A 16,149-nucleotide genomic window follows, 5' to 3' on the forward strand; every position below is an offset into this window, starting at 1 on the left:
ATAGCAAGGGAAAGACCGGCCCCCATGATTCAGTTACCTCTCACTGGGTCTCTCTCACAACATGTGGGAATTCTGGGAGATAAAATCCAAGTTGAGATTTTGGTGAGCACACAGCCAAACCATATTCTTCCACCCCTGGCCCCTCCAAATATCATGTCTTCCCATTTCAAAACCAATCACGCCTTCTCAGCAGTCTCACAAAGTCTTAAGTCATTTCAGCATTAAACCAAAAGTCCACAGTCCAAAGTCTCATCTGAGACAATTCAAGTCCCTTCCCCCTATGAGCCTGCAAAATCAAAAGTAGATACAATGGGGGTGTAGGTAGATACATTCCCAGATACAATGGGGGTACAGGTATTTGGCAAATACAGCCATTCCAAATCGAAGAACCTGGCCAAAACAAAGGGGTTACAGGGCCCATGCAAGTCTGAAATCCAGCTAGGCAGTCAAATTTTGAAGGTCCAAAATGATTTCCTTTGACTCCAGGTCTCACATCCAGGTCAGGCTGATGCAAGAGGTGGGTTTCCAGGATCTTGGGCAGCTCCACCCCTGTGGCTTTGCAGGGTACAGCCTCCTTCCTTGCTGCTTTCATGGGCTGGCATTGAGTGTCTGCAGCTTTTCCAGGCTCACGGTGCAAGTTGTCAGTGGATCTACCATTCTGGGGTCTGGAGAACAGTAGCCCTCTTCTCACAGCTCCACTAGGCAGTGCCCTAGTAGGGACTCTGTATGGGGACTCCAATGCCACATTTCCCTTCTGTGCTGCCCTAGCAGAGGTTCTCCATGAGGTCCCTGCCCCTGTAGCAAACTTTAGCCTGGACATCCAGGTGTTTCCATACAGCTTCTAATATCAAGGTGGAGGTTCCCAAACCTCAATTCGTGACTTCTGTACACTGCAAGCTCAACACCACCTGAAGGCTGCCAAGGCTTGGGGCTTGCATCCTCTGAAGCCATGGCCCAAGCTCTGCGTTGGCCCTTTTCAGACATGGCTGGAGCGGGTGAGACACAGGACACCAAGTCCCTAGGCTGCACCCAGCACTGGGACCCTGGGCCCAGCCCACAAAACCACTTTTTCCTCCTAAGCCTTCAGATCTGTGATGGGAGGGGTTGCCATGAAGGTCTCTGACATGGCCTGGAGATATTTTCCCCCTGGTCTTGAGGATTAACATTAGGCTTCTTGCTACTTATGCAAATTTCTGCAGCTGGCTTAAATGTCTCCTCAAAAAATGAGTTTTTCTTTTCTACTGCATCATCAAGCTACAAATTTTCTGAACTTTTATGCTCTGTTTCCCTTTTAAAATGGAATGCTTTTAACAGCACCAAAGTCACCTTTTGAATGTTTTGCTGCTTAGAAATTTCTTTTGCCAGATACCCTAAATCATCTCTCCCAAATTCAAAGTTTCACAAATCTCTAAGGCAGGGGAAACATGCCACTAGTCTCTTTGCTAAGACATAACAAGACTCACCTTTGCTCTAGTTCCCAACAAATTCCCCATCTCCATTTGAGACCACCTCAGCCTGGACCTTGTTGTTCATATCACTATCAATTTGTCAAAGCAATTCAACAAGTCTCTAGGAGGTTCCAAACTTTCCCACATTTTCCTTTCTTCTTCTGAGCTCTGCAAACTATTCCAACCTCTGCCTGTTACCCAATTCCAAAGTCACTTCCACATTTTCAGATATCTTTTCAGGAATGCCCCACTCTACGGGTACGAATTTAGTGTTAGTTCCTTTTCATGCTGCTGATAAAGACACACCCAAACCTGGGAACAAAAAGGGGTTTAATTGGACTTACAGTTCCACATGGCTGGGGAGGCCTCAGAATCATGGTGTGAGGCTAAAGGCACTTCTTACGTGGCAGTGGCAAGAGAAAAATGAGGAAGAAGGAAAAACGGATGCCACTGATACACCCATCAGATCTCATGAGAGTTATTCACTATCATGAGACTAGCACTGGAAAGACTGGCCCCCATGATTCAATTACCTCACCCTGGGTTCCTCCCACAGCAGGTGGGAATTCTGGGAGTTACAATTCAAGTTGAGATTTCAGTGGGGATGCAGCCAAACCATGCCATTGTCTCAAAAAAAAAAATAAACAAATGATGATAATTTTTTCTTTAAGATGCTCAATGAATTTGGGTCCATTTAAGAAGTGAAAATAATTCCACCACTGTCTTTGTCTCCCCATTAGAATTGATTACTGACTAGCTGGAAATGATCGATAAGTGCTTAGGCATTCTTTTATTTGTTGGTAAAGAGTTCATGTTAAAGGGAATGGATTTTGTGAGAATTATATAGCTAGCTAACTCTGGCATTTTAAGTGTTGAGAAACCAGAGGACGAAGTAGGAACAAAGAATCAAATATTTTTTTAAAAAGCCTGATAGATTAGTTACCTCCTTCAAATGTTTTATTCTTTCTGAAAAGCCTTCAATTGTTACTGTTCTGTTTTTGAAATAAGAAATTTTACCATATGCTTTAGATAATGACTTAGACAACTGGCTATAGAGACTGTGTTAGCTGAATTCATCCATTCAAAATAATTTATTGAATGCTTCTTCTGTGACTGGAAACACACTGCTGGAGATACAGATATGCTTCTGTTTTGAAAGCCTTTACAATCACCTATAAGAGGAGAAAATGTGTAAGCAGCTCATGTTGATTAGTTATTACAAGCGTTTTCATAGAATTATGTATAGGATTTAAAGAGCCGTGCACGGAGTGACAGAGTACTATGACTGATGGGAATAAGCGAGGTTTTAAGAGGATTTTGCCTTAAATTTTTATTTTTTAAATGATGTTTGAGGTGCAATGGCTCACGTGTGAAATCCCAGCACTTTGGGAGGCCAAGACAGGAGTATCACTTGAGCCCAGGAGTTCGAGACCAGCCTTCACAACATAGTGTGGCCTCATCTCAAAATAATAATAATAAAAATAAAATAAAATAAAATAAAAATAAAAATATAAAGGTAAAAAAAGGTGTTTGTAACAACAATTAGAAAAAAGCAATTTAAAGAAGCAAACTATCTGAACAGATACCTCACCAAGGATGATATGAGAATGACAAAATAGGCATATGAAAACATGCTAACCTCATGTATCATTAGAGAATTGCAAATTAAAGTGACAGCAAAATACCACTACGCATCTATTATAATGGCAAAAACCCACAATTTGACAATACCAAATGCTGGTGAGGATGTAGAGAAACGGGAATTTTCATTCATTGTTGGTGGAAATAAAAAATAGCCACTTTGGGAAAAATTTTGGCAGTGTTTTACAAAGTTTAGCACAGTCTTACCAATACAATCTAGCAATTGCAATTCTAGATATTTGCCCAAATGAGTTGAAACTTACGCCCACGCAGAATCCTGCATATGAATGCACACAGCAGCCTAATTGCCAAAATTTGGAAGCAACCAAACTGTCTTTCAGTAGGCGAATGAATAAACTGTAGTACATTCAGAGAAGAGAATATTATTTAGCACTAAAAAGAAATGAGCTATAAAACCATGAAAAGACAAGAAGGAAACCTACTAAGAGAAAGAAGCCAATCAGAAAAGACCACATATTATATAGTTTCAACTATATGACATTCTGAAAACTAAAGTTATAGTGACAGTAAAAAGATCAATGGTTGCCAGGGTTTTGATGGATAGGTGTACAACAAGATTTTGGGGGCACTGAAACTATTTTATAATATACTATAACAGTGAACAGATGACACAGATGAATGATATTATCCATTTGTAAAAATCCACAGAACTACAAACACAAGGAGTGAAATCTAATAAAGACTAAGGACTTTAGTTAATAATGTATCTATATTGGTTCCTCAATTGTAAACAATGTACTACACGAATGCAAGATGTTAAAGGTAAGGGAAACTCTAGGGAAGAGGGTTAGGAAAGAGTATATGGAAAATCTCTGTACTTCCTGCTCAATTTTTCTGTAAATGTGGAAGTTCTCTAAAATAATTATGCCCATTAGTTTGAAATAGTGATAATTCTACGCCCAATAGGAAAATAAGAAAGGGACATGAGTGGAGAAAACAACAGCATTTCCCACCAAACTGGGATCAAAGGAGCTAGTGGGTATAAAAAAAAGCCTACCAAGTTGAACTATGAGTAGTTCTACGAAATGACACGGGGGAGGACTTGTTTTGGAGTGGGGGTGTCAAATCACAGAAACTTTAACTTGAGAGCTCAGTAATTAGAAATTTGTTGTAATTATTCTCTGAGAGTAATAAAGCAGAGGCATGAAAATAAGATTTTAACTTGTAAAATTCTCTTTAATTTCCTGTGTCGAGGCGGTAGAGTCTTAAAGGACATTGGTTAGGAGGCCATTGTCTTTGTGCAGGAGACCTTTGTTATTGATTAGCTCAAGTTATGCAGGGGAGGTAAAGAAGACACAACACGTTGTAGAGAAAGTGGAGGGAAGAGATAGATTCTAAAATAAATTTACTCTGAAACAAGCCAAGACAGATGCAAAGCCAACAGAGAACTTCTTCTTACGCTTTTTTCTCTCTACTGTTTGGATTTAAACACCACCACCTCAAAAGACCTGGGTTTCTATATATTTTAAAACACCTTATCTCAGAAATGTGTTAGTAATTGAAATTCAAGCTCTTATAAGTTATGGAGAATATAGTAATGATAAAAATGAAATTAGTCAATAGTTTAAATAATAAATTTTTATATTTAAATACTTAAAACTTAATTTAGAAAGAAAAAAGTGACAGTGTATTCTTATAAAATATGCATCTTCTTTCTGACATTTATGGGCAAAAGTAGAAAACAAATTTGTACTTGTACAAGTGTTTTTAATGTACATGAAAGAAATTATGGTGTAAACATGGTAAAAAAGCATCCAGATGTAAGATTATATGCATATATGTTTATAAATTATGCATTCTCCTTAATATCTTGAAATTTGGAATTCATAGAGTATACTCTATGTTGAAAATGAGAGATATTTCAGAAGAGGTGTTGGCATTTTAGAAATGCTATAAATATTAATGAGCTTGGCTACCAGTTAGCTGAAAGGACAAGTAATTCCAGAGGTGGATGGTAAGTGGTTGGGAGCCTAAGGAGGAAAATGACTGTATTTCAGATACTGATAAAATCAAGATCCAAAAATATTTTGGCAGTGTGCTAAAAGAGTGAGTCAGAAATTAGCAATAAAATTTAATAGGGCAAAACATATGTCTGCTAAAACAATCTGGTAGTTTCAAGGTAGGAGAGAGGTGAATGAATATCAGAAGCAAATAATAAAAAAGTGTTAAGTTTCCAGTTAATGGTAATTTCAGCAAAAATCAATACTAATGGATTACTAAATCAGTCTAAAATTGATCTGGAAGTTTGGTACCCAGAGAATATTTGGCAAAACTTTCCCATATTGGACAGGCCACACTACTGTTGGGTCTGGGTACCGGTCATTTTCAAGGATGCAGAAAAATTAAATCTGTCTAATGGTTATCATTTAGAAAATACAAGATTAAGGTCCATAAAGCATAGGTGAAAGAAGCAATTGCTTTTTTAATGAGACAGCCTCAGATAGTAAGCAAGAGCTATCTTTGAATATTGGAAGTGAACGAGGCTTACCTTTATTGGACTTAAATGATAGAACTGGAGCCACAGGAAGAAAGCTTCTGGAGGATAGAAATCAGCTTAGCAAAGGAAAACTTTCTAAGCGGTAATAAGGAAAGGGATGTCTTAGGAGAGAGTGAATTTCATATCATTTGAGTTTATGAGAAGAGCAGCGTTTTTTATTTTTTTTGGAGTGATGCATATATTGCATAAAGAATCCTTTCTATTTCTGGGCATTAATTAGAATGCTAAAGTAAATTCTACAGAAGAGAAGAAGAGTGACAAAGTCCATGGTTGATGTAGGACTCAAATTTATAAGCTACAAGTGGTTAAACAAACCAGCAAATGAGAATTGGGTCAAATTCAGCAACACATTCAGTTCCACTTAAGTGGTGGACGTGTGGTGATTGAATGTTAGAATATACTGAAAGGATTTAAAAGATATCATTGACTCTCCCATACGAGTCATAGGATTGATCTCAGAGACAAGGATATGACCAGAACTGGGGTCACCAGATAGACAGAACCCCAAGAGGAGGCAGTAGTAAATGCCGTGAGGATGCAGTATCAGAGTAACCACCTTATGGGTTCTTCCTGCCCACTGAATAGACAAAATCAATCCACTGAGACCATGGCATTGCAGTTAAAGTGAAAGTGTAATTAATGTGAGGCTGGCCACTGTATGTGGGAGACAGAGTTATTACTAAAATCAATCTTGCAGAAGGCTTGGAGGTTAGATATTCTTCAAAGATAGCTTGATGGGCAGAGGCCCAAGATATGGGTGCTGCTGATTGGTTGGGGATGGAATCATAGGGGTGTGAAAAATGGTACTCCTGGCTGAGTCTGCTTCTGGGTGGGGGCTGCAGGACTGGTTGAGGGAAGGACAGATCCTGGTTGGACCATCCAGTTGTCAGAAATGCAAAAGCCTGAAGGCATTTCAAAAGGCCAATCTTAGGTTAATTACAGCAGAACCTGAGGAAGTTACAAATCTTATGACCTCCAGAATAATGGCTGATAATCATTTAACTAAGCCTGTATCTTAGCAGAATTCAGGTCCCTCTCCACTTCCTAACCTGGTGGCCTTTCATTAGTTTTACAAGGCTGGTTTAGTTTTGGGGAAGGGCTACCGTCATTTAAACTATAAACTAAATACTTCCCTAAGTTAGCTTGGCTCATTCCCAGGAATGAGCAAAGACAGCCAGCCTGCGAGGCTAGAAGCAAGATGGGGTCAGCCATGTCAGATTTCTCTTACTGTCACGATTTTTGCAGAGGCAATTTCATCAGTAGACTTAAGTACAGACACACAGAATGGTGAGGTAGACCTTATTATTCAGTTGAATTACATGTCATTAAAGTAAAATCACATATGGAGATTTTATTCTTTATCAGCTCCATCCTATATAGTCAGGCTAAGGAAAACAAAACAAAAACAAAAATATCCTCCCTCTTCTCAAGAAATCCATCATCTCCTGGCAGAAGGAGTTCTGCCAAAATATGAATATAATACCACTTCTAGTTTTGAGCATATACTAGGCAAATACTAATGACAGGCACTGTATTAGGCCATTCTGGTTTTGCTATAAAGAAATACCTGAGACTGGATAATTTATAAAGAAAAGAGATTTAATTGGCTCACAGTTCTGCAGGCTGTATAGGAAACATGGCTTCTCGTGAGACTTCAGGAAGCTTTTACTCATGGCAAAAGATCAAACGAGAGCTTCTACATCACATGGTGAAAGCAAGAGAGAGAGTGGAGGGGGAGCTACCACACACTTAAACCACCAGATCTCATGAGAACTAACTCACTATCACTAAGGCAGCACCAAGCTGCCATGAGGAATAAGCCCCCATGATTCAGACACTTCCCACCAGGCCGTACCTCCGGCACTGGGGATTACAATTCAACATGAGATTTAAGTGAGGACAAATATCCAAAGTGTATCAGGCACTATGTATGATAAAAGCCCACATGATCTGGGCTAATCCTTTTAGTCCTCTGAATTACGTGTCATTATTAGCCCAACTTCCCCAGATTGGAAACAGAGACACAGAGAAGTTATGCAAGGTATGTTAGGTTCACGGTTAGAGTGAGGTAGAGCTGGACTCACACCTATAAAGTATAAAGGGAGAAAACATCCAGGTCTTTTTTACTTATCAGTTCGTAAGTCCAACATTAATGTTTTTAACTGAGTTGTGATGCCTTTATGAAACCTACAAAGGAACATATGACCTTTTCAAAGTCTACAAAGATCCCATTTTCCTTAAAATAAAATACAAAAATATCACTAGGACCAAAAAGAGTGCTATGGACTAGTAAAAAAACTATCATTTAAAATTTTAGGCCAGGCATGTTGGCTCACACCTGTGATCCCAGCACTCTGGGAGGCCGAGGCGGGCAGATCACCTGAGATCAGGAGTTCAAGACCAGCCGGGCCAACATGGTGAAACCCCATCTCTACTAGAAATACAAAATTAGCCGGGAGTGGTGGTGTGTTCCTGTAGTCTCAGCTACTTGTGAGGCTAAGGCAGGAGAATCGCTTGAACCCGGGAAGCAAGGTTGCAGTGAGCCGACACCTATGGCTGACTAATTCCAAAGCCCATGCTGCTAAATGCTATGCTAGAAAGAAAACTCTAATGCTAATCCAATGGGTATGCTAGGCAGGAAGAACCTAGATGCAGGGAGATCTAGTTCAACATCTAGCCATGAGGGAATGAATGTCAAGTTTTAGATTCAAGGAAGAGCAATGATAGACAAAAGGGCCCATATGAAATCTAAGGCAATGGAAAGGTCAAGTAATTATGTCACTCATTAAGAACACAAAAAGATTACAACTATTGAAAGATCTTAAACCATGAATAATTAAAATCTCAGATGCATATTTTCTGACTATCAAAAACTATAATATTGTCCTAATGTCACCTTTAGTAAAAGGCAGGCTTCTAAATAAGAGGAGAGGAATGAGACTTTATGTGGGAAACAGGACAGTTATTAATGTTATTAGTTATTAGTTATTCACATACTAGCTTAGAAAAATCTTGAAGCTATGGGCAAAGTTGTACAGTTACCTTGTTACATGTAAAAAATAATTTCATATTTTTGCATAAAGTGAGACTATTTGATCATGTGGTATAAATCTAAAGCTGAAAAAGAAACTAATTAAAAACAAAAAGTTACTCAATGCTGAGATTTAATTTTCAAATGAACTGCTAAAGTCAAAATTAAACTTTAGCAATCCTTTACATTCTTTGTCTGCTTAATGTTTTTAAGAGAAATAGTCTTCATAATTTTTGAAATTACGAATCTGTGTAATATACCTTGATGTAAAAAATACTTGTGGATAGATGTTTAAAAATCAGTCCATTGTTTTATAACATAAAAGAAGGGTTACCTTCATTAGTTTAGGTAGAAAATTTCTCAATAACCATAATGATGGATCATTTTTCTCTGAGAGAGAAAATTTTATTTTAAAAGTGGCTGCTGTAATTTTACAGGAAAATAAGAGATCTTTTTAAATGATAATTCTAGCTTATTACCATTTGAACAGCCTTTCTAACAGCCAAAGGAAAATGTATCTTCATCTTTTATTTCATAAATCCACAGTTGCCAACACTGTGCCCATACATATAGATGGAATGCAATTTCATAAATCTTAATTTGTCTTGAATAATGAAAGCCTGTGACTTCAGCACAAAATATCTCCAGAAACTAAAAATGGAATGTTGCTCGTCTTTTTAAACTGTCTCTCAAATTGTCATCTTCATGTTTTGTTTACTGACATAGAAAACCAATTTGAGAATAAATGTTAGAGAATACTGTGGGACGTGAATAAGAGATAAAAGGCTTCTTGAATCCTAGATTCACCCAGGGGTAGAAATCTATAAAATGGCACAATTCCAGCAAAGGAAATTAAAGGCCAAGCATTTGGGTACCATAAAAAAAGCCATAAAATCTGTGATGTGAAAAAAAAAAATAGAGAGAAATTCAATAGCAGAATTTTACATTGTGGTGATATATAAAAATGAAAAACAACCACGGAAGTTAGTAAAAGAGAGTAACTCTAAATCATCAAATATAATTGAAGCTACAATGAATGAACACTGGTGAAATCCACAACACGGCAAAGTGTAAAGGAAGAAATCATCCAGGTCTTATTTACCTCTCAGTTGGCAAGTCCAGCATTAATGATTGTAACTAAGCTGTGATGCCTTTACGAAACCTACAAAGGAATATATGACATTTTCAAAGTCAATGAAGTCTCCATTTTACTTTAAATGAAATACAAATATATCACTTGGACCAAAAAGAGTGCTATGGACTAGTAAGTATATATATAATTTATATATATATATCATGTGTGTATATATATATATATATGTATATATATATATATATATATATATATATATACATATATATATATATATCATGTGTGTGTATATATATATATATAATTTATACTAGTCCATAGCACTCTTTTTGGTCCCAGTGATATATTTGTATTTTATTTTAAGTATATATATATATATATAAAATTTAAAATTTTAGGCCAGACACGGTGGCTCATGCCTGTAACCCCAGCAGTTTGGGAGGCCAAGGCAGGCGGATCTCCTGAGATCAGGAGTGCAAAACCAGCCTGGCCAACATGGTGAAACCCCATCTTTACTAAAAATACAAAATTAGCTGGGAGTGGTGAGGCACGTGCCTGTAGTCCCAGCTACTCGTGAGGCTGAGGCAGGAGAATCGCTTGAACCTGGGAAGCAGAGGTTTCAGTGAGCCAAGATAGCACTATTGCACTCCAGTCTGGGCAACAAAAGCAAAACTCCATCTCTAAAATAAAATAAATACAATTTTAGATAGCTGGGTTTGAATGGAGACTGCAGTTTGGATTTGTGACACAAAGATAAAACTTAGATTTTAATTTCATTCAGGTAGAATGAGAGCTAGGAAGAAACTCCTCACATGATTCCATGATCCTCTGTTACTCCTTTAGGTGATGTGGTCATTCTCTAGGACAAAATAACTCTATTCAGGTTTTATGATCATAGCTGTCCTTAGGTAATGTAAGACGTTCACTCTTCCCCCACCTCCCCCATTCTTCAGAGTTTTGCTGGGACCTTTTCAACTTTTGGTATTCTCTATCCTTTACTCAATTCAAGATGTTCATAAATGCACACAAATGTCCAAAAATATAAATTTGTTCTACTTGTATGGGCTGCTTGACCACTATAAACTCCACCCTAAATCTACCTCATCCTTTTACTAAAACTTTGCTGTAGCTTTTCCAGCATTAGTAATTCACCTTCTATCTATAACATGTCTACGACAAAGTCAAAAATATATTTAAAGATAATTAAAGAGAAATATGAAAAGTCATACATCTACTAAAAAGGTTAAAATTAAAATGACTGAAAACACCAACAGTTAGAAAGGATGAGAATCAAATAGAAATCTAACATGGTGCAGGTGGAAGAGCATATTGGTATAACCATGTTGGACAACCATTTGGTAGTATCTAGTAAAGATACTCATGCATACGTTATCACCAACTTTTCTATTACTAGGCATAAACCCAAGAAAGCCATGTCAATGTGCACCAAAATAGATGTACAGAAAATGCTTACAGTAGCACTGAGTTTAAAGGTCAAAGACACAAAACACCCAAATGATCTAAATCCAATGGATAACTTATAAAAACCTGTAAATTTGTACAATGCTATAATATACAGCAATAAAAGTAAATAAAGTACTGCTATATGCCACTGCTTTTGCAAATGTCACAACTGTAATATTGAGCAGAATAAACTAGATCTGAAATGAAAAAGACCACATAATTGTGGTTCCATTTATATAAATTTCAAAAACAGACCCAACTAATTTCTGATGATAGAAGTCAGATAAGTGATTACCTTTGAGGAGGAGGTAGGTCGTGATGGAGGGGAGGCATGACAGGTGTTCTACTTGGATTCTACTGTATAATATGGATGATGAATAACTGAATGTTACTACTGTGTGTAAGTTCCCCAAAGCTGTGTGTATGCTTGTTATCTATCTATCTATCTATCTATCTATCTATCTATCTATCTATCTATCATCTGTCTACATATAAATACAGCTGATCCTTTTTAAAAGAAAGAATTAAACACCTAGAATGCCAACAGATAAGAATGATAATGTGAACCATGGTGGTGGAGGTATTGATGATGGTGATGATGGTGAAGTGAAAACCTTCTGCTCTGTAAGAAGGTATCACATATAATGTATAATTTGAATATAAAAAACTGTCTACATATGGTAGTTGAGAGCTTGAAACTCCAGTTTTAGGTAGACATAGATTTAGGTACAACTTCTACTACTTACCAATTATGAGATGTTAAGTTGTAGAGATATTATATAATGTCAGCTGTTTCTTCATTGCAAAATTGTGCTAGGGTGAAGATTAAATTGGGTGATCCATTTAAATGTCTTGCATTGATGTCAGTATTTATTGCTATAAATTATCATCATTGTTGTCTTATCTTGATTATCAATATTGCCATTACTGTAGCTAAAAGCTAGGTAGATGATAATTTTGGGGATAAGAGTTAGATTTCACCTTTGGGAATAAGAACTGGCTATGTAAGCAAATGAAGTTTCAAGTGTCCATATAAGCATTTATATACACTTTTTAAAAAATATCTTTTTTACCAGCATTATGTTTTTAAAAATGGTGTCATTAAAATTTACATAAGGACAAAAATTGCAAAAGTTGGGCAATAAACATGTTACACCCTCCCAAAGAGCTAAAACAACTGTAAACACCCTAATTATGCCTTTTCATTTCAACACTTAGCTTGTCTATTTAGTTTAAAGGAACATATGATTGAGATGGATGATTCACCAACATATGCATGCTTTATGTTTTTATCACTTTTACATCAACTGCTTCAATGTCCCTGAAAACTAACACTTCTTTATGACTAATGCCATAATTGGTCTTACTTCTAACTCAATTTTATAAAGTAATAAGGTTAACATGCAATAAGCTATTCATTTACTACACAATGAAATTCTGATGAGCTGGTAAAAATAATGCAGGTTAAACTGTTGGATGGCAGGCAGCACCCTCAAGTGGTAAGCTGAAATGATCTTTTACCTGTTGCTCTTTAAAAGTTCTAATGTAATGTATTCAAAACAGTTTATTGTACCAAATACAATCTACAAAATACATTTTATAAGTCTCAACATAACAAATAGAATGTGGTATGCACACACAAATCAAACTGAAAAATATTGAGGACCACCTGATTGATTTTTGTCTGTCATTTCTCTGTTTCTTAGTTACTTTTTGCCTCTAGTGAGTTATATTAAAACCTATAAAGGGCCAAGACAAGTATGATAGGTTACTTATAGTTATATCAAGGCAACAGAGTGTGTACAGGAAGGGAATGATATTTCGTCTTACACAGATTTTGAATAAAGAAAGCTAGGGATAAAGTTACCTGAAATAAAACTTTAAAAAAATTCTGTGAAGGCCCCACATGAGGAAAGAGGATATAAGGATCTAATCTGAGTTACAGAAGTAGCCCTGTTCTCTTATAATCATTAGGACTAACGATTATAGTCCTATAACTAGATGCTTTCTACAATTTTACTTCATCATTAGTGAATTTCTGACTTAATTTGTAGTTTTTAAAATATTATCTGTATTAATAAAGTAGACTGCTATCCTGGTATGTTTCAATACTTTGTATATAGAAAATACATAGGGACATCTATCTGATATTGAAGACTACAAATTGAAAATGATACCACTCGGATCTACTCTACAATACATTTTTTTTTGTTTTGATGAGAGATAAGGGTGGAAAGAGCATGATCAATAGTATTAATAACCTAGTTCAAAATTTTCTTAAAAATAATTGAATTTTCATTTTCATCACATGCAATGGTTTGCTGTTGTTAAACAATTAACTACATTCCCATTATACAGTTTTTACTATTTTATAACATTGAGTAAGTCTCTTGGCTCTGTTGAGCCTCAATATACTCACCTCCAAAATGTGTACAATAATAGGCACATGATAAGCTTTTGAGACGATAAAATGGTAAAAGTGTTAAATCATTTAGCATGATGCTTAGCCAACGTTTAATAGAGCTCATTTATATTTCATGGCCTCCCTTTCTTTCTTCTTTCTTTCCTTCCCTTTCTTATATACCCTTTCCACTTTTCTTCTTTCTATGCATATGGGGAAAGAGAAAACAATACATAGCATTGTTAAGCATCAAGCTGTTTATATTTAATAACTTAAGAAAAAAATTAGAAAAGATATTTAAGAAGGTTCACAGATAATTGAAAACCCATTTTTAAATGGTAAAGTTCATCTACAATCTCTCAAATATAATTTTTCCAATATATTCTGTATAAGCAAATAAATAACAAATGACACAGAGAATAAAGATCCACTTGTCCTTAAAAAACATAGGGGGGTAAGCAGATTTGTGAAGGCTGCTAATGATTGTGGTCACTTGCCTGCAAATCATAATGGCCAAGGTCAGAAGTGAAATAACTTCCAAAGTGGTAACCTGGAGAGACTTCAAGTAGAAAGAGCAAAGTTGAATTGCACTTATCACCATGGTGGTGCCCATGAAAAGAGACTATTTTCAGCAGGTGGACATGTACATCCTCTCTGTCCAAAACCAGAGTTTCACCAGTATGAAACAATAGTAATCAGAAAACTTTTTGTATTTCACCCTAATGCTCCCTCATTTCCAAAAAATAAATATTAGTTATTCATTGTTTTATATATGTATATATAATTATATATACATAAAATTATATATACATATGAAATTATTATATATGATTAGAGAAACTTTTTGTCAAATTCCCTGCTACCCCATACCCCTTCCTGCAAGGGCAGTCAGCACATGAATTTTAAATTAACCTTTGTTAAACAGCATTACACCTGTACTCTGGGTGGCTTTCATTTTGCGTGAAAGGTGAAAATTGACATTTTTTTTTCTCAAAAGAATAGACTTTAAAGTCTGTTAACCTTAACTTCAATTTTAGTGCAATATTTTACAACATAAAACAAGACTGCAAGAAAATGTCATGCTGCTCTGAAATATGCACCCCCAAAATAAAATGACCCTTCCAGACGTTGGATGGCATTTTTAGGAAACGTTTAATGTGGTTTATGAGTCAGCCTCCTGACTTCAAATGAAACTTCAAGGTTTTTAGAGTTGTTTCTCAATTTTCAAAAATGCTATATTTTTAATAATGATATATGTTAAGTCAAACTTAACACTGGCTCAAATTTAAGAAACTAAAATTTTGTTTTTCTTAGTGAGAATATTCCAATTGAAATTAATGCTATTATTTATGCCTATGGAGTTGAGGAAACGCTAGCCCAATACATGGCTCTTTGGCATTTGAGAAAACAACAGAAACAAGAAGCTTTCACTCTGACCTTCTTCCACTTTATCCCAGGAAACATCATAAAACTCCGAAAGAATTTTCTGACTTTCCACTAAGGCTGATCATTAGACCCTCATTCAATAAAAATCTTCCCTAGACCAAAAAGAAAGGAACATCCTTTTCTCTGAAGACACAGGGACACAGAAAAGAATCTGAACAAACAGGTCTCACTAAGTTCCTCCCAGTTTATTACCATTAGATAATAGTTTCTTTTAATCCAATCATACTTCTCCATGACTATCCATTCATTCATCAAAACTAGCATAAAAATAAACACGGTTTACCATTTTGGGGGGTCTTCATTTCTTCATAAAGTCTCCCATATCATGTAAAATTTATATTAAATAAGCCTGTGTGCTTTACATTTGTTAATTTGTATTTCATTATGAGGGCCTTGGCCATGAACCTAGCAATGTGTGAGGAAAAGATCTTTTTCTCCCTTACAAAGCCATTATATAGATTTTTAATACCTAAAGAATATAGAAAGTAGGGCATACGGTTCTACACTGAAGAATTTCAATCCCTCTATCCAATGTCTGCATATTATCTATTTAGCCCTTAATTTGGTTATCCACTCTCTAGTTGAATATCTCCAAGTTAAGGAGAAGCTAAGAAATACTCTAATTTGTTAGTATAAATGTACTGCTAAAGAAAAAGTTCTTTCTTACCTTGAGATCTCTGTAATTCCCATACAAAGTAGTTGTTAAGAACAGTCTTTGCAACAGCACGTGTAGGTTAAATCAATGGTAAGCTGGTAAATTATTAACAATTGACACTTAGGGAGGGGGTAGTTTATAGTATTTGCCAATTTTATGTGGTGTGACTACATCATTTAAGGATAATTTCTGGCTACCTACATGACATTGGGTGAGGTGGAACATTATCCATTCCTGGAAGGTATATTATCCTTTCTCATGCTGCTAATAAAGACATACCCGAGACTGGGTAATTTATAAATGAAAGCAGTTTAATGGACTCACAGTTCCACATGGCTGGGGGAGGGAGGCCTCGCAATCATGGGAGATGATGAAGGAAAAGTAAAGGGACGTCTTACATGGTGGCAGGCAAGAGAGGTGGTACAGGAGAACTCCTATTTATAAAACCACCA

At 36.2% G+C, this 16,149-nt stretch overlaps 1 long non-coding RNA gene across 1 annotated transcript; it reads right to left on the reverse strand.

The window, feature by feature from the left end:
- Window positions 1-2,511: 2,511 nt before the first annotated feature.
- LOC107984812 (uncharacterized) lies at window positions 2,512-15,787 on the reverse strand. The gene is made up of 4 exons (XR_001752332.2): window positions 15,710-15,787; window positions 13,615-13,799; window positions 9,741-9,800; window positions 2,512-2,620 (listed from the first exon to the last, which is right to left on the reverse strand). It is a non-coding gene; the product is annotated as an uncharacterized LOC107984812 (long non-coding RNA).
- Window positions 15,788-16,149: the final 362 nt, after the last annotated feature.

The sequence above is a fragment of the Homo sapiens genome, chromosome 16 (genome assembly GCF_000001405.40).
Source record: "Homo sapiens chromosome 16, GRCh38.p14 Primary Assembly".
NCBI classification, from domain to species: domain Eukaryota; kingdom Metazoa; phylum Chordata; class Mammalia; order Primates; family Hominidae; genus Homo; species Homo sapiens.